The sequence below is a fragment of the Homo sapiens genome, chromosome 15, assembly GCF_000001405.40.
Source record: "Homo sapiens chromosome 15, GRCh38.p14 Primary Assembly".
NCBI classification, from domain to species: Eukaryota; Metazoa; Chordata; class Mammalia; order Primates; family Hominidae; genus Homo; species Homo sapiens.
Genome location: NC_000015.10, coordinates 51,349,045 through 51,370,007, shown reverse-complemented (window position 1 = coordinate 51,370,007; position 20,963 = coordinate 51,349,045). Strand labels below are relative to the sequence as shown.

The 20,963-nt window shown below is 43.6% G+C and overlaps 1 protein-coding gene across 7 annotated transcripts in view; it reads right to left on the bottom strand.

Annotated features, from left to right (window-relative positions):
* GLDN (gliomedin) overlaps positions 1-20,963 on the bottom strand; it is a 71,711-nt gene that overhangs the window by 43,358 nt on the left and 7,390 nt on the right. The window contains exon 1 of one of the 7 annotated variants that reach the window (XM_017022122.3): positions 9,471-9,767. The exons of 5 other annotated variants lie outside the window; for them this stretch is intronic. Coding sequence is in view for 1 of the 2 variants with exons in the window: in XM_011521501.3 (XP_011519803.1) it covers positions 782-784 (3 nt within the window). In the remaining variant the exon portion in view is untranslated. Of the gene's footprint in view, positions 1-781; positions 7,440-9,470; positions 9,768-20,963 lie in introns of those variants that run through there. One more of the 7 variants, XM_011521501.3, reaches the window with a different exon arrangement.

Below are 20,963 nucleotides of genomic sequence, written 5' to 3'. Positions count from 1 at the left end.
AGTAGCTGGGACTACAGACATGCGGCACCATGCCCGGCTAATTTATTTACTTTTTGTAGTGATAGAATCTTTCTATGTTATCTAGGCTGGTCTTGAACTCCTTGGTTCAAGTAATCCTCCTGTGTCGGCCTCCCAAAATGCTGGGATTATAGACGTGAGCTACTGCTACTTTTTTGTACTGCTCAGGCTTTGCAAAAGGAATTGTCTGAATTCAACTTGAAACACAGATTTTTGCTTTAGTGTACTTTTCATATAAACAGGATATTAAATTTTTACTAATAGATGTGTAATTTAAAATGTGCCAATTTCTGTGTGTAGGTAAAAGGCTTAAATCAAAAGCATGTCTTTCTCATCAGAATGAATAGAGCTAAATGTGGTAAGCTGCTACTGCTCATTGGAACTCGAAACCTCACAGTGTTTGGCTGGCTGCTCTCTTGAACTCCCTTTCTCTCACCTTTTACTCTCAGAATGAATTCACACAAAAGTAAGAGAGCAAACCTGCTCATTATCATCAGCTACTCTGGTTTGTGTGTTACTAAAACAATGAGGCCTGTCATGGTTTCTCTGAAGTTCTCCAAGCACAGGTTACAGTTTGCTGGCTGGAACACTGTTTAAATGCTAAGTCATCTTCCAGGTCTGATCTATTTTGTAACTTAAATTCCATATCTCTTAGAAAACTGAATACTTTGTATGACTCTCCTTAATTATGCAAACTGCTGTTATTATATGCATGCAAATGATCCTGTTAGAAAAAGCTCCAGGAGATGATAATTCACCTTACCATTGGCTGAGATTGCTTGGACTGGGGAGATGGGGCTATGAATGTGGTGGTCCACCTGCTTGTCACTGGAGGGTTAGATCGCAGATGTTAGAAGAATCCTTCATGGGATCTGAAGCTGAGGTCAGACACCCTGGACTCATTTCTGGGAAAGGCAGGAATTCACACAGGGGCCAAGACTTGGTGAGGGCACTCTGCAAACACCAACGGGAATGTGGGTCTTGCCTTTGTTAAATGTAAATAAATAAAACTGGAGGCCACAGTTTAGTACCCAAGGCCAATTACTCATAGCCACATAACCAAAACTTAGCTCTTACTGATTCCCTGCCCCCCAAAACATAAACCTTCAACATAAACAGAACACTCAGTAAGCTTTTCATCTTATCAGCATGATTCAATGAAATTAAACCAACGGATATAGGCAAATCAGCTTACATAGTCATATGCCTTAAGAAAGAATATATGACATCCAATCCTGAAACAGGCCAAAACGCTTCCTCCTTTATGCTCTTGAAACTGAGCTGTAACTGCTGTAAATTTGAGACTTTCTGCCACTTTCCAGTTTGAGGTCTCTTAGTTCATGAACATTTCTTTGTATGCACAATAAACTCTTAAAATCCTAACTTGACCTAATTTTTATATCTTGTATGCAGCTGCTTGGAAACACGACAGTGAAATTCTGGGGTGTGACTCCTAGGCCCCAGCTCGTGTTGGGCCGCAGGCATTTAACAGCTCAAGTGAGCCTGTCCAGCCATCTTCTGCCATCCCACATCAGCGGCCTGGGGGGCAAGTGTTCTATCAGTTCATCCTGCCAGGGATCTGCAGAGTCCAGCAGAATCTTTCTCAGCCTTCCAAAAAGCCCAGTCCCTACTGACTGCCCGTTTCTGTGCCCAGCAGCGTGGCCAGTCACTGGCTCACTTTTTCGCTGTTACGCTGACTTCTCAACTAGACTCTGAATAGTAGAGGCTATTTTGTCCTTTTTCTGTTTGCCACATTCACTTATCCATTCCCTTTCTCAGCACCAGAATGGCATCAAGCACATAGTAGGTACTCAAAAAAGACTTCAGCATTGATTACTTGCTCAAATGGGAAGGGAATGTGCTCCCCAAGCAATGATATTATTCCTTTCAGACAGGCAGTCACTTTGTTTACAGAAACTGAAAATCTCTCATGGGGATACCTGCTTCTCTTTGTGCCTGCTTGTTTAGGATAATTTTATTTTTGCAGCTACTCCAATAATCCCTAGAAAACAGGACCTTGGAGATGCTAGGATTATCTAGTTAGGGTTCCTGAGACATGGCTATCCCCTTCCTGTCTCTATCAACATCACAGCAAAACCAGAGACCATTGATGTGGCCTGGTCTGTAGGGCAATAATACACAAGCCTTTCACACTATCTTGAGTCAGGGCACTTGCGTGGCTGCACCCAGGGCTGCTCTGGGCTGGGTCAGCCAGGCTGACACTGGGGTGCTGATATGTAAAGGAGGCTAAGACATCACTGAAAATGCAATGCAATGGGGAAACCATAGTATTCACTAGATCTTCCTGCTTTGCTAAGTGGATTAGGATGGGGATGGACGCCAGCCTGCCTTTCAAGGGGTAGGGCTTATTCTCGAGTCATTTGTTTTGCTGAATCGAGTCTGCAAAGCTGCACTGAATTGGTGGAGACTGGGTGGAACCTCTAGCAGTGCTCCTTCCCGCTCCGCCTCCATCATTGCCCTGATTCTCTAATAAAATCTTAAACAAATAATTACCAAGTGTTGGTTTGAAGTCCACCCACAAGCCCTGGCCAGCCCTCTTGCACGCAAGGGCTACGGCAGTCACAGGAGCTGGGGCTCTGCTCAGGATTCCTCAGCAATCTCATTTGGAAGGGGCAGTTCCAGCAAACGCCTGCACGCCAATGTCTCTGGCAAAATGACTTTCAGTTGAAATCAGGGCTTTGGAGAAAAACTCCATGTGACAATGATTAGCATTGGGAACATCTGAAAATGCATGCCTGAAGTCCCCGAAGGAGGATTTCCCCCACCAGGTGTTCTTCTTCAGGATCCAACCCCAGGTCAAGGGGAAGGCTGGATAAGCCAGCAGAGGCCGCAGATGGCCTAGGAGGTTCTTCTTACTAACCACAGCAAGATCCTGGACAGGTTCCCAGCCTCTCTGATGAAATAGGAAATGCAATAGGAAAGGTGACAGTATTTACCCAAGGAGTGGCTATGAGGATTAAATTAAGAAGTCCTTATAAAAACACTCTTTGCATGTTTGTACTGTTATCGAAACACATTTGGTCATGATTTAAATGTCAATCAATTAATTCTGCTTTCTGAAAAATCCTCAATTCATACTTTTTTTTTTTCAGACAGGGTCTTACTCTGTTGTCCAGGCTGGAGTGCAGTGGCAGCCCCGACCTCCCAGGCTAAAGCAATTCTCCTGAGTGGCTGGGACCACAGTCACGTGCCACCATGCCTGGCTAGTTTTTAAATTTAATGTAGAGATGGGGGTCTGCCTATGATGCCCAGACTGATCTCAAACACCTGGGCTCAAATAATCCTGCGTCAGCCTCCCACAGTCCTGGGATTACAGGTGTGAGCCACCTCGCTTATTTGAATTCATGCTATTTTAATAAAGATATTCATGAAAGTCTAATCACCAGCTCAGTTTGACAACTGAATTCAAAATGTAATCTGAATAAATCTTACTAAGACTTATAGAAACAACCAGGTGTAAACGGATAAGTGCCTTAATGCACTAATTGTAAGTTGTCATTGGTCATTATAACCACCTTCCTAAACCTTTCCCTTTTCCCACCTGGAGCCCTACAGGCTCTATCAAGCCCCAGGTTTTCAGCCTTGCCCAGTCTTCAGTTCAAGCAACCGCCACTCAGTAATGACAAGTCCTTGTGCTTTTCCCTCAGTTGCCTGGTTAGATGGTAGCTGCCAGCAGCAAGGCCTCCTTCTTGCATGAACTGGCTGACCCAGTTCCAGAACCAGAAATCCTGAGCCACTCCCAAAGGTGGCCTCCGACCGTGTTCTCCCAATATGGCTGTGTTTGGATTGTTCTTCTCCCCGGTCAGAAACAGACACACACACAGTGACAACTTGACGTTCTATCTCCTTAACTACTGCAGCTGACCCTGAGACAGTTCTTCCCCAGTCATAAAAAAAGAAGCATCTGTAAATCCATTTACTAATCTCACATCCTTGCCCTTACTTTATTTTTAAGAAGTTGTTTGGTAGCGAATTGCCTATTTGTGAGTCCTGCAACTTATTCTGGACAATTGTTTCTTAAAGGGGACAGGCTCTTTTTATCTCTGTTTTAAACACATACAAATGTAACAGGATAGCTTTCAACTGAAATTGTACGTATTTATGAGAAAATGCAGGTGAATATTTACCTGATCTTGAGATCTTGAGGTAGGAAAGAACATTCTATACATAAAAGCAGAAGAAGAACCCAAGAATGAAAGATTTTACGGATTTGACTGCATGAAAATGAAAAACGTCCAATCCGTTCCCAAAATGCCCATAAACAAAATGTAGACAACACCTGAGGCCAAAGGTGTAGTGTAAATATCGTGGACTTGGGAGTCAGACATACTCTGAATTCTAGCTCGTCCACTCACTGGCTGTGTGACCTTGCACAGGATGTTCAACCTCTCCAAACCTCGATGACCTGTCTGTAAAATGGGAATAATGATAATGATGATAATAATAATAATGACTGCCTCACAGAGTTATTATCAGGATAAGATAAAGACCTTTTTGAAACACATACCTAATGCTGTTACCATAACACCTGGCATGTTGTACATTCTCAATAAACATTATAATTGTTATTACAGGAAAAATATGGAAACGTGTATTATACACAAAAAATTAATAACTTTCCTATATAAAGAGCACTTGCAAATTAGTAAAGAAAAGATTAAAAGCTCCAATTAAAAATAAAGAAAATTAATGAAAAAATCTCATACAATGAAAAAAATTTAAATAACAAATGAACATATTTTTTAAAAATTACTGTCACCATAATCAAACACCTGCAGCCCCTTCTTGGTGTCAGTGGTCCAATCCATCAAGAGTTGGGCTCTCCTCTTTAAAAAACACCTTTGAACTACCAAGACTCTAATACTTTTCCCAGCTAGTCTGGCTTAATTCCAGGCTGCTGATTCTCCAATTTTAGAGCCATTTGTTGAAGTACCAGCTTCACACTTGTATTTATCTTCTGTTGTTTTTGTGCTTTGAATTCTTATTTGACTGCTAAATAAACAGTAGGACATTTTTGGCATGAGGTTAGAATGTGTAGTTTCTGGTATGGTCAGCCATGTGGAACTTACTCAAGGCTATTTCTTCCCCTTGGTAATTAAAGGGTGCCTCACTGAGCTATAGCACCCAACAAGGTAAAATTCACAATGTCTAACAGTCAATAATAATTACCAGATCTTTGAAGAAGCAAGAAAACACAACCAATAATGAGGGAGAAAAATCAATTAATTGAAACCCACTCAGAAATGATACAAAAAAATTAGTAGACAAAGACAATAAAATGGCTATTTTTATTAACCATTTTCGTATGTTCAAGAAGCTAGAGGAAAGATTGAACATGCTAAACAGAAATATAAATGATATAAAAACCACCCAACTCAAACTCTAAAAATGAAAACTACAATGTCTGATATGAAAAGTAAACCAGGCCAGGTGCAGTGACTCGCACCTGTAATCCCAGCACTTTGGGAGGCCAAAGCAGAAGGATGACTTGAGCCCAGGAGTTCAAGGCTGCAGTGAGCTATGATTGTGCCATTACACTCCAGTCTGGGTGACAGAGCGAGAGCCTGTCTCTAAAGAAAAAATAAGTACAGGGCTTATTTTGGATAGGACTAAGGGCAAATTAGACATTGCAGATGAAAGGTTAGTGAACTTGAAGATATAGCAGTAGAAACTATCCAAAATGAAACACATGGAGAAGAAATGCTTTTTAAAAGTGAGCAGAGTATTCGTGAGCTATGAGACAACTTCAAGTAGCCCAATACCCGTGTAATTAGAGTCCAGTGCTGGCAGGGAGGACGGAAACTTTTCTGAAGTACCAATGGCAAAAAAAATTCCAAAATTCAATTAAAACTATAAACCCATAGATTCAACAAGCTAAAGAAGCTCCAGAGACAAGAAACATGAAGAAAATGACATACAACTGTTTAAAACATATGATGAAGAGAAAATCTTAAAGGCAGCCAAAGGAAAAATGGCACATTCCACAGAGAGAAACACAGCTAAGGATAACAGCAGCCTTCTTCAATGGAGACAATGCAAGTGAGAAGATAGTAGAGTAACATTTTTAAGTGCTGAAAGAAAAACATTTTCTGTCTAGAATTCTATAGTCCAAATAATTTTCAAAAGCAAAGGTAAAATAAAGAATCTTTGGACATCTTTGCATCTACCTGTATCGTGCTCAAGCTAAAATGAACCACCTGCTCTTCAAGGGCATTCCCCTCTCCCATCCTTCAAGATTTGACTGGTATGCTGCCTCCTTCTCGAAACGCTTCCTGATCGCCCACTGGGCTTTATTCATATCCCTCTTAGGGTCCTATTATCTATTGCTTGTGTCGTAAGTGTTTGAGGATTTTTCTTTTCCCTCCCACTCGCCTGTGAATTCCTTGAGGGTTCCTTTCTTGTTGTTCCTCAGCACCCACAGTGTGCACCCACATGCCCATAACAGGCGCTGAGTGTTTGTTATATTGATTTACATTTTACTTGGTTGCGAAAAGGCTTCTTTTAAGCTTCTTTCCAAGATATTTTTCACTGATTTAGAAGTACCGATGTTTTCATCAGCAAACACATGATAAGCCGAGCCCTATGCTTTTAAAAATAAGGCAAAATCTGTGGGCACAAAAGGCTCACAATACAGTTGATTGATTGAATTTTGTTGTTTATAAAGGACTTGAAAAAATAACAGTCTGGGTTTCATAAGGAATAGACAGACTCTTGATGAAGCCTCCCTAAGTCCAAGTAATGAATAATATCATGCTTAGCATCTCCATGATTTCCTGACTATGCCTCCAGCTGGCACCCCCTCCCAGACCCAAGTATGCAGCTACTTCTTGATGACATCTTCCCTTGGACATCTAATGAACATCTCAATGTAACAACATTCAAAACTGAACTCTTCATCTTCCCCCTAAACCTGTTCTATCTGCAGTTTTGCCATCTCAGTTAATGGCAAATCTTTCCTTCCCATTGCTCAGCCACTAACCTTGAAGTCCTTCAATTCCTCTATTTTTTTCCCCTCTCACATCACATTAAAACTGTCAGAAAATTTTATCAGCTCAACTCACATCACATTTAAACTGTCAGAAAATTTTATCAGCTCAACTATCAGACATATCTTTACCCCATCCACTTATCATCTCCACTGCTTTCACTTGGTCTAAGCCACTATCATCTTTCACCTGGATTATTGCAATGGCTATATAAATAGCCCCCCTACTTCCACGACCTAACTTGCCCACCCACAAAGTCTATTCTCATCATTGAGAAGCCAGATTCTCATCATTGAGAAGTCAGAGTGATTCACTGAGAATTCAGGTGAGATCATGTCACTCTTCTTCCCCAAACCCTCCAAAGATTCCCCATAAAAGCCAATGTCCTTACAATAGCTTTCAAGGCTCTACATGAACTGGTCTCTTGTCCCTCCTTCCCCCACCCAACCCAATCATCTTTCTGACATCCTTTCTTTCTTTTTTTTTTTTTTTTTTTTTAAGACAGAGTCTCGCTCTGTCACCCAGGCTGAAGTGCAGTGGCACAATCTCAGCTCACTGCAACGTCTGCCTCCCTGGTTCAAGCGATTCTCCTGCCTCACCCTCCCAAGTAGCTGGGATTACAGGCATGCACCACCATGCTGAGCTAATTTGTATATATTTGGTAGAGACGGAGTTTCTCCAAGTTGGTCAGTCTGGTCTCGAACTCCTGACCTCAGGTGATCCGCCCGCCTTCTACTCCCAAAGTTCTGGGATTACAGGCATGAGCCACCATGCCCGGCCCTGACCTCCTTTGTTATTACTCTTCTTCCCACTCACTTTGCTCCAGTCTCCTTCCCTGAGCTCTCTCAACTCGGGGCCTTTGCACTTGCTATTCCCTCTGCCCAAATGGCCCTTTCCCCACATATCCACATGGCTCATTCTCTGATCTCCTTCAAGTCTCTGCTCAAATGTTGCCTCCTCAGTCAGGCTTCCCCAGCCACACTACTTATAATTACAGCTTCCTATTACCCCTCCCTAATCCTCCTCTCTGCTTTATTGTTCTTTTTGTTTTTTAGATGGAGTCTTGCTCTGTTGCCCAGGCTGGAGTGCAGTGGCATGATCTTGGCTCACTGCAACCTCTGCCTCCTGGGGTTCAAGCAAATCTCCTATCTCAGCCTCCTGAGTAGCTGGAATTACAAGCATGCGCAATCACGCCCAACCACTTTATTGTTCTTCATAGCACTTATCAACCTTCTACCACTATAGATAAATTACTTATTTGCTTTGGTTTTTGTCTCCTCCCTGCCAGAACATAAACCTCAAGAGAACAGGGATATATATATGTTTTGTTCACGCTGTTTCTTGAGTACCTACAATAGTGCCTTGGATATAATAGGTGCTCAGTGACTACATATTGAATGAATGAATCTTTGATTGGTAGAGCAGTTCTCTAAGTCAGTCTTACCCATACCTGATGTCATCTCCTATTTGGTGAGTAGCACGAATTCCTAGGATGGGATTTTTTTAATGTTCTAGGACCCACCTCTAAAACTCTTAGTATGGCAAGAAACCAGGTTCAGAAACTGGCAGATACCCAAATTTATATATGCACTATTCAAGTCATGGATCAGTCTATAGTCAAGAGGTATTCATCAAATACTTCAGTAGAGGCATAGCAAAAAACCATGAGACATATTTAAAGAGATAAGGTGACTAAAGGTGACAAATTAGAGGCCAAAATTGTAGAAAACCAAAGTTTGAGTTGTATGACACAAATAAGTGCAGAAGAAGTTAGGGTAGGAAGGGATGAGTGTTTTGAAGTGAGCTGAGAATCACTTGTCTTCCCCAGGCCTCTAATGGAGTTTCTAAGCAGGAGTACTGCTGGAATCATCTTTCAGTAACCGCCAACAGCAATATTTTGTACTCACATTGTTCCCTTCAAAAACAACTTCAGATACTTTCTGATTTTTATCTAAGCATTCTTACATTCATCCAATAGTCAGAAATCATAGTTAACCAAGTCGTCTGATGTTGGGAGGAATGGACAAAAGAATTAAGACCATTATCTCCAAATGCTGCCCTGTGGCATCCCTTGTACAGAGCAAAAACATCTGTAAGAGTGTTTTCTCAACCTACTTCCTGCTCAGCCCTCTCCTCCCTCCACACAGGGGATAGCTACCTATGTCGTGAACAATAAGTATATAATGGCCCCTGCTTTAGCTAATATGTCCCTCCCTAGTAAAGGAGTAGGGCTCTCAGGCATGATAAGAAAGGCATGTGAGAAAAATAAGGTTCCCCAGTCACAACTTAGGGGGTGGGAGAAATACCTAGTATTGGCTGTCCTAGGACCCCTTTGATGGTGACAGACCTGGAGGATAGTTATCCGGGACAGAAGAGTAAAACTGAGAAGGCCGTGCCAGTGTCCAGGAGGAAGTTAGTTTCCTGGCCCTCAATGGTTAAACTTACCTGGGGCTCTCTGTGATGGTGATGGCATGGGTTGGTGCCTGCCCCGGGCACCCTCAGTCCTGTTGTGGTACCATCTGGTTAGTGGCCTCTGGCCCAGTGAACCTTCGCCCTCGGGGGCAGTGTGCCTTCCAGTGATCCCCCTGGCACAAGGGACATGGACGAGGGGGCAGCTTATTGTTTGGGCAGTCCTTTTTGAAGTGGTCCTGTAAGCCACACTGATAATAAGCTCTGTTAGGCGGGTTGCCTGCCCAGCCTTTCTTTCTTTCAGAACCACCGAAGTTTGAAGTTCGTCTGTCTGAGGGCCATGACTAAGGTGGAGGCCTTTTTCTTGTCTCATCTGTCTCGTTCAGCCTGCTCCTCCTGATCTCTATTACAAAACACCGAAGTTGCCAAATTCAATAGAGTTTCCAAATTTTGCTCGGGGCCCAGGGCAGACTTTTGAAGTTTCTTTCTAATGTCTGCAGCTGACTGAGTGATAAACTTATCCTTTAAAATTAGTTGGCCTTCAGTAGAGTCAGGTGACAAAGAGGTATGCTTTCTTCTTTTTTTTTTTTTTTTTGAGACAGAGTCTCACAATGTCGCCCAGGCTGGAGTGCAGTGGCGCAATCTAGGCTCACTGCAAGCTCCGCCTCCCGGGTTCACATCATTCTCCTGCCTCAGCCTCCCAAGCAGCTGGGACTACAGGTGCCTGCCACCATGCCTGGCTAATTTTTTTTTGCATTTTTAGTAGAGATAGGGTTTCACCATGTTAGCCAGGATGGTCTCGATCTCCTGACCTCATGATCCGCCCTCCTCGGCCTCCCAAAGTGCTGGGATTACAGGCATGAGCCACCGCGCCTGGCTGAGGTATGCATTCTTAATGCCTCCCTTAGCCTCTCTAAAAATGCCATAGGGTTTTCTTCCTTTCCCTGTGTTATGGCGGACATCACTGAGTACTTCATTGGCTTTTTTCTGGTCTTTCTTAATCCCTCTAGTATGTAAGTCAGTAAATGCCTGTGACTCCAGTCTCCATGCTCCAAATTGAGGTCCCAATGGGGATCCACACTGGGAACCGCCTGTTGGCCTGTGGGGAATTGTTCCCTTTCTTCTGATGTCATTTTATCATTTACCTGGCTTAGGTACCAGAGATCCCCAAACTCCCAGGGATCCTGCAGCCTTAGCTGTGGCCTCTTTTTCGCTGGGAGTTAATGTTTGACCTAACGACAACATAGTATCTCTCCATGCTAAATCAAAAGATTGTCCTAATCCCTGTAAGACGTCTACATATCCATCAGGATTATCTAAGAATTTTCCTAGGTCCGGTTTGATCTGTTTTAAGTCTGAGAGGGAAAAAGGGACATGCACTCGTGCTGGGCCAAAGTCTCCTCCTCCTCCCACGGCTTGGAGGGGGCACAATTGAGGGCCATTGGTGGCTTTTGGTTCCTTGACTATCTTTTTGTCTGGTTCCTTTTGGGCCATTAGGGCCAAAGGAGAGTCCTTACTAGTGGGAGGGGGAGCCATGGGGAGACCTGAGTATGGGTGTAGGCTTTGAGGACCCCCGGTAGGATGTAAATTACATTTTTTACATAATTGTGGGTTATCCCCTAGTGAGAAAAAAACCTGTATATATGGCACTTCACTCCATTTGCCCTCCTGTTTACAAAAGACACCTAGGTGTAGGACGGTATTATAGTTACTTCCCTCGGGTGGCCATGTCTCTCCTCCGGGAAGAGGCTATTGTGGCCAGGTGGTGCTGCAGAAAAATATAAGTCACTTCTTCTTCAGCATTTGAGGGTCAAATTGGTCCCAGTTATCCAGAATACACCTCAGGGGTGGTTTTGCTTTTGAGGGACGTCTCCCATCTGAAAGGAGAACATAGAAGTGCCCACACCCCTAGTCATCCCCTAGTGAGCACTAGCCCTAGGGCATCCCCTATGGTTCTGGTGTCCTTTTCTTTCCAGGGTGTGCAATCACCCATGGAACCCTGCTTAATGAATTTAATTGTGCTTACCGACATAGCAGTTTTGCCCGCACTTGTTTCCTGTCCTTTTTTAGCCACACAGAAAAGGGGACCGGGACTGCTGGATTTTAGTGGCTCCTTACCAGCGTGCCCACAATTACCTTTGCATCTAAGAGTGAGTCTTAGGTTCGGGGTGTATTTTAAATTCAGAGACCAGGTACCAGTTAGCGTATTTCTGGGCTTGGAGCTGTCCCAGCAAGATAAATTCCTTGAAAATGGCACTGAAGCACAACAGTTTTAGGGTAGGCACTGGCAAATTGGAGGACCAAGGTTGGAACAGTGCTTTTCGTACCTGAATTTTCTGTCACCTATTTGCCCTCCTAAGAATATTCATTGACCTTTGGACTTGAATTGGGGGGACCTATTATCTATTATATTGTTTTCGGCCCATAAGTCTCATTGCTTTGAGTGGAGAAGTTCTACAGTTTTAATCGCTGATCCCAGATGGGAAAGGTGGTAATTAAAGTAGCCTCTATAATCTGGAGTAAGTTTAGGGCACCAAAGGAAAAATGTCCTAGGCCTTCTATCAGCCACTGACACGCCTTTTGATGTCCCGGATAGTGCCTAGGGTACAGGGTACGAGGGACAGGTCCCTAGGGACAGGTACGAGGGACAGGGCACGGACAGGTCTGTGCCCATGGGGGCACCATGGGCAAGGGTCTTTGGATTTTCACCTCCCTCAACTTAGGCTCCTAGCCCAAAGATGATTCTTAAATTCAGGGGTAGGAAAGATCCTAGAGGATAGGGCCTCAAGAAAGTCTTATCTGAGGACATTAGAACCAGGAGGCATGGAATGCATGCATGGGCGGCTGCAGAGTAGAGGCTTCTGGCTGTGCCATGATCTCAACCGGGTCAGTGCTGGGAGTTCGGGATGACAGTTTTCCGCCTCTAGTCAGCCCTTGGCTTTTCTCAGGAAAGGTAGAAAAAGGTGGAACTGGTTCCAGGCAAACCAATGCTCCCAGCGCAGAGGGCTGGGGGTTGTTAGAGAGCCCTCTCCCAGAAAGCCTCACACCTGTGTCTTAAGTCAGATGGCTGCACTTGTCACTTTTAAATGGCCGACAGGTGCCTCGTGTCTTCCTCCAATTTCTAGCGAGAAGATAGAACAGAATAGCAAGTGAAAGGGGTCCAGTGTTACTCACCGCTTTGGAGAAATCCCAGACAGGCCCCCAGAAATGAGACGAGAAGTCTTCTCCCGATCAAAGGTTTTTCTCAATTGAAGGATTCATGGTCTCACAGGCTTCAAGGAATGAAGCCGTGGACCACAGTGGCAAGTGTTACGGCTCAATTAGAGAAATGCGTGGACCCAAAGAGTGTGCAGTGGCAAGATTTATTAAAGTGAAAGTGAAAGGAAAGCGAAAGCTAAAGTAAAGCTTCCATGTGGTGGAAGGGGACCTGGAAGGGTTGCCCAACTACAGTCAAATATTTTCCAATTATGCTTAGTATAATTAATCTCCCTAAATCCAATATCCAAAATACATTTTTCCTTTTTAGTCCCCATTAACTATCAAAACACCTATCTGGAAAACAGTATTTTTTCTAGAGGTCTGTGTGTTGTCCCAGTCACCCAAGATTCCAAACTTTAGGGTCATTCTAGAATCTGCTGTTTTTCTGGCAAGTTCTTTTGATTTATCTCCAAATTCTTTTTATTACAAGGCTTCCAAATTCCCTGAAACACAGAATGGCAGCATTTGAAAAATACTAAAATAATATTGATGAGTGAAAATATATTGAGTTCTAGGCACTGTATTAAGGACTTTACATAGATTATTGAACTGAGTTCTTATGATAACTTGTAGGTTAGATACTGCTATCGCCACCTTTTTAAAGCTGAGGGAACTGAGATGCAGGGGGTTGAGTGACCTGCCGAAGGTCACACGGCTGATGGGGAGCCACAAGTGAACTCACAGTATGATTCCAATGCCCACGCTCTTTACCATTATAAAGGCTTAGATCATTTTGCGGTCTGCCTTTTACTTTTTAATTTGGAAAGTCCTCTTACATGGAGAAGGCAGAGTTCTCCTTGGAAGCAGGATGTTCTCCTTTCCCTGAATATTCTTTCTTATCTCAGTTTTCCTTCTCTCTTTTAATGTCATATTCAGTCCCAAAACAAACTCAGCATCCTCACTTCTAAAGTAGCCCGCTTCCATGTTTCCTCACTTCTGTCCATAGCACCACCATCCTTGATGTTAAATGGATCTGGACCAAGTGGCTCCTTTTGTCAGAGGTGTTCTAACCAGAGTGACTCCATCTTGAATAGGGGCTGGGTAAAATAAGGCCGAGACACCTGCTGGGCTGCCTTCCCAGGAGGTTAGGTATTCTTTTTTTTTTTTTTTGAGACAGAGTCTCACTCTGTTCCCCAGCTATAGTGCAGTGGCGCGATTTCGGCTCACTGCAACCTCCACCTCCCGGGTTTAAGACAGTCCGCTGCCTCAGCCTCTGGAGTGGCTGGGACCACGGGCACGCACCACCACGCCCGGCTAATCTTTTGTATTTTTAGTAGAGACGGGGTTTCACCATGTTAGCCAGGATGGTCTCGATCTTCTGACCTCGTGATCCGCCCGCCTTGGCCTCCCAAAGTGTTGGGATTACAGGCGTGAGCCACCACACCCGGCTGAGGTTAGGTATTCTAAGTCACCTCTCATCTCTCAGGATGAGACAGGAGGTCAGCACAAGATACAGGTGACAAAGACCTTGCTGATAAAACAGCATGCAGTAGGGCCGGGTGTGGTGGCTCACGCCTGTAATCCCAGCACTTTGGGAGGCCAAGGTGGGCAGATCACAAAGTCAGGAGATCAAGACCATCCCGGCTAACACGGTGAAACCCCGTCTCTACTAAAAATACAAAAGATTAGCCGGGTGTGTTGGTGCGTGCCTGTGGTCCCAGCTACTCAGGAGGCTGAGGCAGGAGAATCGCTTGAACCCAGGAGGCGGAGGTTAAAGTGAGCCGAAATCATGCCACTGGACTCCAGCCTGGGCAACAGAGTGAGACTCCATCTCAAAAAAAAAAAAAAAAGAAAGAAAGAAAAAGAAAAAAGCATGCAGTAAAGAAGCCAGCCAAAACCAAGATGGCATTCAAAATGACATCTGGTCATCTTCACTGCTCATTACGTGCCAATTAATAATGCATTAGCATGCTAAAAGACACTCCCACCAGCACCATGACAGTTTACAAATGCCATGGCAATGGCTGGAAGTTATTCTATATAGGCTAAAAGGAAGAGGAACCCTCAGTTCTGGGAAATCCCTGCCCCTTTTCCCAGAAAACTCTTGAATAATCTACCCCATATTTAGCCTATAATAAAGAAATAACCATAAAAATAGCCAACCAGCAGCCTTTGGGGCTGCTCTGCCTCTGGAGTAGTCATTCTTTTGTTCCTTTACTTTTCTAATAAGCTTGCTTTCACTTTATTCTGTGGACTCACCCTGAATTCTTTCTTGTGCATGATCCAAGGACCCTCTCTAAGGGGTCTGGATAAGGACCTCTTTCCAGTAACACTTTTCCTTATATCCAATTAGTTAGCAAAATTAATTCAAGCTTCTCTTTTGATATTTCTAGGATATAACCCTTCTTCATTTCCAATGCCATTATCTTAGCCATACGTGAATTGTTTCTTGCCTGGATTAATGTAATAACTTTCTAACTTTCTTCTTGCTTCAGTCTTTCCCCATTTCCAGTCTTTCCTGCATTGCACCAACAGATCTGTCCTCCTATAAAACCACAGCCTTTATGACTCTTCCCTGGCAAAGGTTCTACGATGGCTCCCAATTCCTCATTAGGTTCATTCTCAATTTCTCAAAAGTAGAAATTCAAGCCTCTCTCTAACCCAGCCAACCTTAGTTCCCTTCTCCCTACTCCAAACTCTCCAGTACAGGAAGGCCTGTCTGGCTTCTTGTTCTTCCTGACTTGCACCATTTTCATTTCAATCCCTAGACCTTGGCTCATATTATTGCCTGTACTTGGAATGATTCACCCTCCTTGCCTGCCCCAGTCTCAACAACTCTCCATTGCCCATTTTGAGTTCAATTTCCTTAGTGAGGACTTATTTTCTCTCTTCTTCAGTGCCCCCATGCTTTCCACACAGTCACTGTGAAGGATTTTCCTCTAAAGGTCTTCCTGTTTAGAGACTGATTCCAAGGTCCCCAAATGTGGCTTAGGTGGGGGTAGGCATTTTCCACCTTCCAGTAAAAAGGATACCAGACTCCAACACTCACCCACTGAGTAACAAAAAAAACCAGGGAATTATTTTGCCATCACCAGCTCAACATTTTGGAGTACACTTATTCACAACTCATTATAAAGTACTTCACAGTTTTTATATAGAGCCTAGGCAGGACCTCCAAGTTTCCCAGCACTTTGGCAAGCACAGACTTTTTCTGGGTGGCAGATGAAGGGGTTGCTCTATCGGATTCAGAACAAACTCCACAAATTGCATTTTGAACGATCTTTAGTTGGCCTTGTTGTTTTAAGGCTACCTTTCAGAAAAGAAAAGTGTGTCTTCAACTTTAGATAAACTAGAAGCAGATTATATCCATTTAAAGTATAGAGCTGTTAAAGATCTACATAAAAGCAACGGATGGGCTGCAAAATGCTCCCTTTGTAGCTTAATTACAACCTAAAAGCTTCAGCTTGTTTTAAACAACATGACCTTTAGTCTGTAGATAAAATGCATGTAAATTAATCTTGAATGTCAAGTAGATTTGGCCAAGAATTTCTTTTTTGTGTGTGGTGGTGGTGGTGGTGGTGAGTTTGAGGAATGTAGAGGGAATAAAAGAGTGTCTTTTTTTTTTTTTTAATTGACTGTGGTTTTTTTTTTTTTTTTTTTTAATCAAATCCGAGGACTGTTCTGATAGTTCCCACATTGGCAACAATATCCTGGAGAACACAAGACCCCTAAGAAGTAAAATTGTTCTTTCTCTACCTGTTTTTGCTCTACCTTCCACTCACATTTTCTCAATTTTCCAAATGCCAGCATACAAATTTTTTTTCAGGAATGCCACCAACAGGAATCAACAGAAGTTAACAATAGCTGAGCCAGTCGGAGAGTGGTGAAGATGACTGCCTTTCAGTGAGTGCCAAATCTTATCATCAGTGGTCACGCAGAGGCATAACTACCCAACAGGTTCATCTTGCCTGCTGTGCAGATAGAGTCGATTTATCAAGACAGGGGAATTGCAACGAAGAGTTTCATACACATAGAGCTGGCTAAACAGGAGACCAGAGTTTTATTATTACTTGAATCAGCCTCCCCAAAAGTTCAGAGGCTAGGGTTTTAGAAAGATAGTTTGGCAGGCAGAGGGGGCTAGGAAATGGGAAATGCTGATTGGTTGGGTCAGGGATGAAACCACAGGGAGTTGAAGCTCTCCTCTTATGCCAAGTCTGTTCCTAGATGGGGGCCACAAGACAGATGAACCAGTTTATTGGTGTTGGTGGTGCCAGCTGATCCATCAGAATGCAGAGTCTAAAAAATACCTTGAATACCAATCTTATGTTTTACAACAGTCATGTTATCTATAGGAGCAATTGGGGAGGTTAGTAATCTTGTGGCCTCTGGCTGCCTGACTCTTAAGCCATAACTTCTAATCTTGTGGCTAATTTTTTTGTTTTACAAAGGTGCTGTGCTTCCCAAGCCAGGAGGGAGTTCATTTTGGGGAGGGGCTGATATCAACGTTGTTAAACAGTTAAACTATAAGTTCCTTCCAAAGTTAGTTCAGCCTACTTTGAGGAAAGAACGAGGGAAGCTTGGAGGTTAAAAGCAAGATGGAGCCAGTTAGGTCAGATTTCTTTCACTGTCATAATTTTCACACTATTATAATCTTTGCTAAGGCAGTTTCAGAGGGGTGGGAGCTGTGAAATCCTGAATCTCTGAAGAAGCCCTGTTGCCATATCAAGGGGAACTCTGTTTTGTTGTCAATGCCAAGATGATTTAGGTTGGTATGATTCCAATCCAGGCTTTAAGAGGCCAAATACTATCCCAAAGCAGCAGCTGATAAAAGCACAGATGAACAGACAAGTTGGCACCCTGAAGGAAATGGAAATAAAGAGTAAACCCAGAAACAAGACACTAGGAGCATAGGGCAAAAAGGGCTAATGGCAAAGCAATATTGAGTGCCATGGTCTGAATATTTGTGTACCCCCAAATTCCTACATTGAAACCTAATCATCAATGTGATGATATTAGGAGGTGGGGATATTGGAAGGTGACTAGGTCATGAAGGGAAAGCCTACATAAATAGGATTAATGACCTTATAAAAATGATTTTATAAAATCATAAAAATGATTAATAACCTTATAAAAATGAGGCCCCAGAGAGCTGCCTTGCCCTTCCACCATGGTGGAAGGTGAGAAGGTGCCATCTATGAACCAGAAAACAGACCCTCACCAGACACCCAATCTTTCGGCACCTAGATGTTAGACTCCCCAGCTGCCAGAACCATAAGAAATAAATTTCAGTCATTTATAAGCTACCTAGCCTATGGTATTTAGTTATAGCAGCCTGAATCAACTAAGAATATGATAAATCTTAATAACAGCAACAATGAACACTTATTGAGAACCTGACTATACCAGGCAGTGCACTTCACCTATATGATCTCCCTTAAACATCCGAACAACCTAATGAGGTAGTTACTATTTTCTCAGTCATACAGATGAGGAAACTGAGGCTTGGTGAAGTTAAAAGATTTGCCCAAGATCACCCAGCTACCAAGCTGTGGGTCCAGGATATGAATCCATCTGACTTCCAAGTCCACACTGCTTACCACCACCACATACTTCAAAGAATTAGGGAGAGAGAATGGGGCTGGGAACTTAACAATGAAGAAAGATCCCAGGTTGCTTGAGCTAAGGACAGGTACATGAGGGCTGAAGGTGGCAGCAGTACCATGGGCAGGTGAGCCTGTGACTGCCATAGGGAGATCCTGGCATGAGAGCTTGAGAAGGATGAACCAGCCCTTGGCTTTGAAGGACTTGTGATCTGAGAAATTATTCTGGAACTCACACCAGGAGGGACCTTTGCCAAAGGATCTCTCAGCCTGTGGTCTAGTGGGCAGAGCTACTAAATAATCAGCTGATCACAGGGTACTGCTGTCTCCCTAGAGTGGAGAGACAGTTTTCAGGTACTTTTAATGTGACTCTGAGTTCCAAGACAAAAATCAATTTTTTCCCCGGCATAGTGGCAGGGAAGATTGAGGGAAAGGCAGTGAAATAGTGTGCATAAAGACAAGAGCAGTTGGGCATGGTGACTCATGCCTGTAATCCCGGTACTTTGGGAGGCTGAGGCAGGAGGAACACTTGAGCCCAGGAGTTCCAGTCCACCGTGGGCAACATAGTGAGACCCTGTCTCTAAACAGATCTAAGAGAAGGCTAGCTATCAAGAGATGCAAGCATTTTGAACTGGGAGGAGATAAGAAGAGAAAGGGCCAAGATATCTCATTTTAAGTGTCATCTTTTGTTTTATTATGAAGACAAAAAAATCTTGAGTTTACGTTCACTTAAAAAAAAAGAAAAAAGACAAGAGCCGAGAACTCACCAAGCCCCAGAAGGTTCTACCCTGCTCAGTCTGTAAAGCCTCAGGAGGCTCATTACTACTGCCCTCACCTCTGCTGCTTTGCATAGAAAGAGACCAGAGACTTTTAATAGTTCTGGGACATGAGAGTAGGTCCTGATGGTTTCATGCCATTCATTTGGTCAACACAACTGCTCTATTTTCATGGGTCCAGATGATCAGCCTTGACCCGCCTGTTTCTTATATATGTCCCTAGAGAATCATGCCAATAATTTCTTACAAGGAATGCTTTATTTGTGTGTATGCAATGGATCTCAGGGGCCAGCTCCCTCCTGTCTTCCTTGTGCACCATCATTGCCTGCGACATGAGTTAGGCTTATAGGTGTGTTCCCATCACCAACACCACTAGACACAATCTTAGCAGAGATATGGCTGCAAGCTCTCTCCCAAACCTTAATTGATACCTAGAGATGGCTTCTGACATGGGAACAAAGCATACAGTGTCAGGTGTGCTCAGAGTACACAGCACTGACGTCCTAAATGCACGTGTGCACACGCTGCAGTGAGAAGGGCCACGGAAACCCACTTCCCAGGCTCTGCATGGGGTTTATGACTTTGGTCACCCTTTCTTTTTTAATCCTCCTGTATCAGGCCTCTAATCTCTCATCAGCTCCCCCAACCCCTCACCCCACAGGACCTAGTGTGGTATGCATCTCTCTCCTTCAATCAAAGAGAACAGATAGAGTTTGAAACAAGGCCTACATTTGGGAATAATAGATGGCTAAAAGCTCCCCTAACATTGTTTGCTCTCAGTTTGGGAAGCCAGCAAGCAGCCTGGCTCAGCCCTACAGCCTCACTGTACATGGAACAACACTCTTAGGGTGCCTCTGTCTTGCATTCCATCTCCTTGGGAGAGGTGTTAGACCCCAGAGTTAACCAAGGCTGGAGCACCCCTGATTTAGTAGCCCGAGCTACTAAGAATCAACCCTAGGCCGGGTGCGGTGGCTCACGCCTGTAATCTCAGCACTTTGGGAGGCTGAGGCGGGCAGATCACGAGGTCAGGAGATCAGGACCATCCTGGCTAACACGGTGAAACCCCGTCTCTACTAAAAACACACACAAAAAATTAGCTGGGCATGGTGGCAAGCGCCTGTAATCCCAGCTACTCGGGAGGCTGAGGCAGGAGAATCGCTTGAACTCAGGAGGCAGAGGTTGCAGTGAGCCAAAATCACAGCACTGCACTCCAGCCTGGGTGACAGAGAGAGACTCTGTCTAAAAAAAAAAAAAAAATCAGCCCTAGTGCCGTTCCAGGGAATTACGATGTAAGTGGAGGTCTGGCAAAGTTTTTCTGAGAAGAACGAGACAAAAACTATTTTAGGCTTTGTGGGTCACATGGTCTCTGCTGCAACTATTCAAACCTGCTGCTGTAGTGCCAAAGCAGCAATAGACAGTCTGTAAACAAATGGGCATGACTGTATCCCAATAAGACTTTATTTATGGTTACTGAAATCTGAATATCATATCATGTTCACATGTCACACAATATTATTATTCTTTTGTTTTTTCCCCACCCATTTATAAATGTAAAAGCCATTCTTCATAGCCTGTACAAAAACAAGTAGAATAGCAGGCTAGACTTGGCCTACAGGCCATAGTTTGCTGACCCCAGTCTAAATCCTCAGCTTTTACAACATTTGGAAATAACCCAGTCCAAGGAAGTGGGAAAGGGAAATAAACTCTGGCACAGCCAATTTAAGGAAATATAGCACTGCAAACAGGAGCTGTGACTGTAGGTAATGTGATTTTTTTTCTCTATAAACAATAGAATTTCTAGATTCATATCAGTGTAGCTTACAGCAGTCATAATGCAAAGCTACCTGTTTGCTATAATAATGTGTTACTGCTTAATCCAGCTGTAATCGCCTGCTGGGAACTACCCTAAGAATCGGGAGTACATGCTTTTGAAAAGCCGTAGTGACAGGAAATCT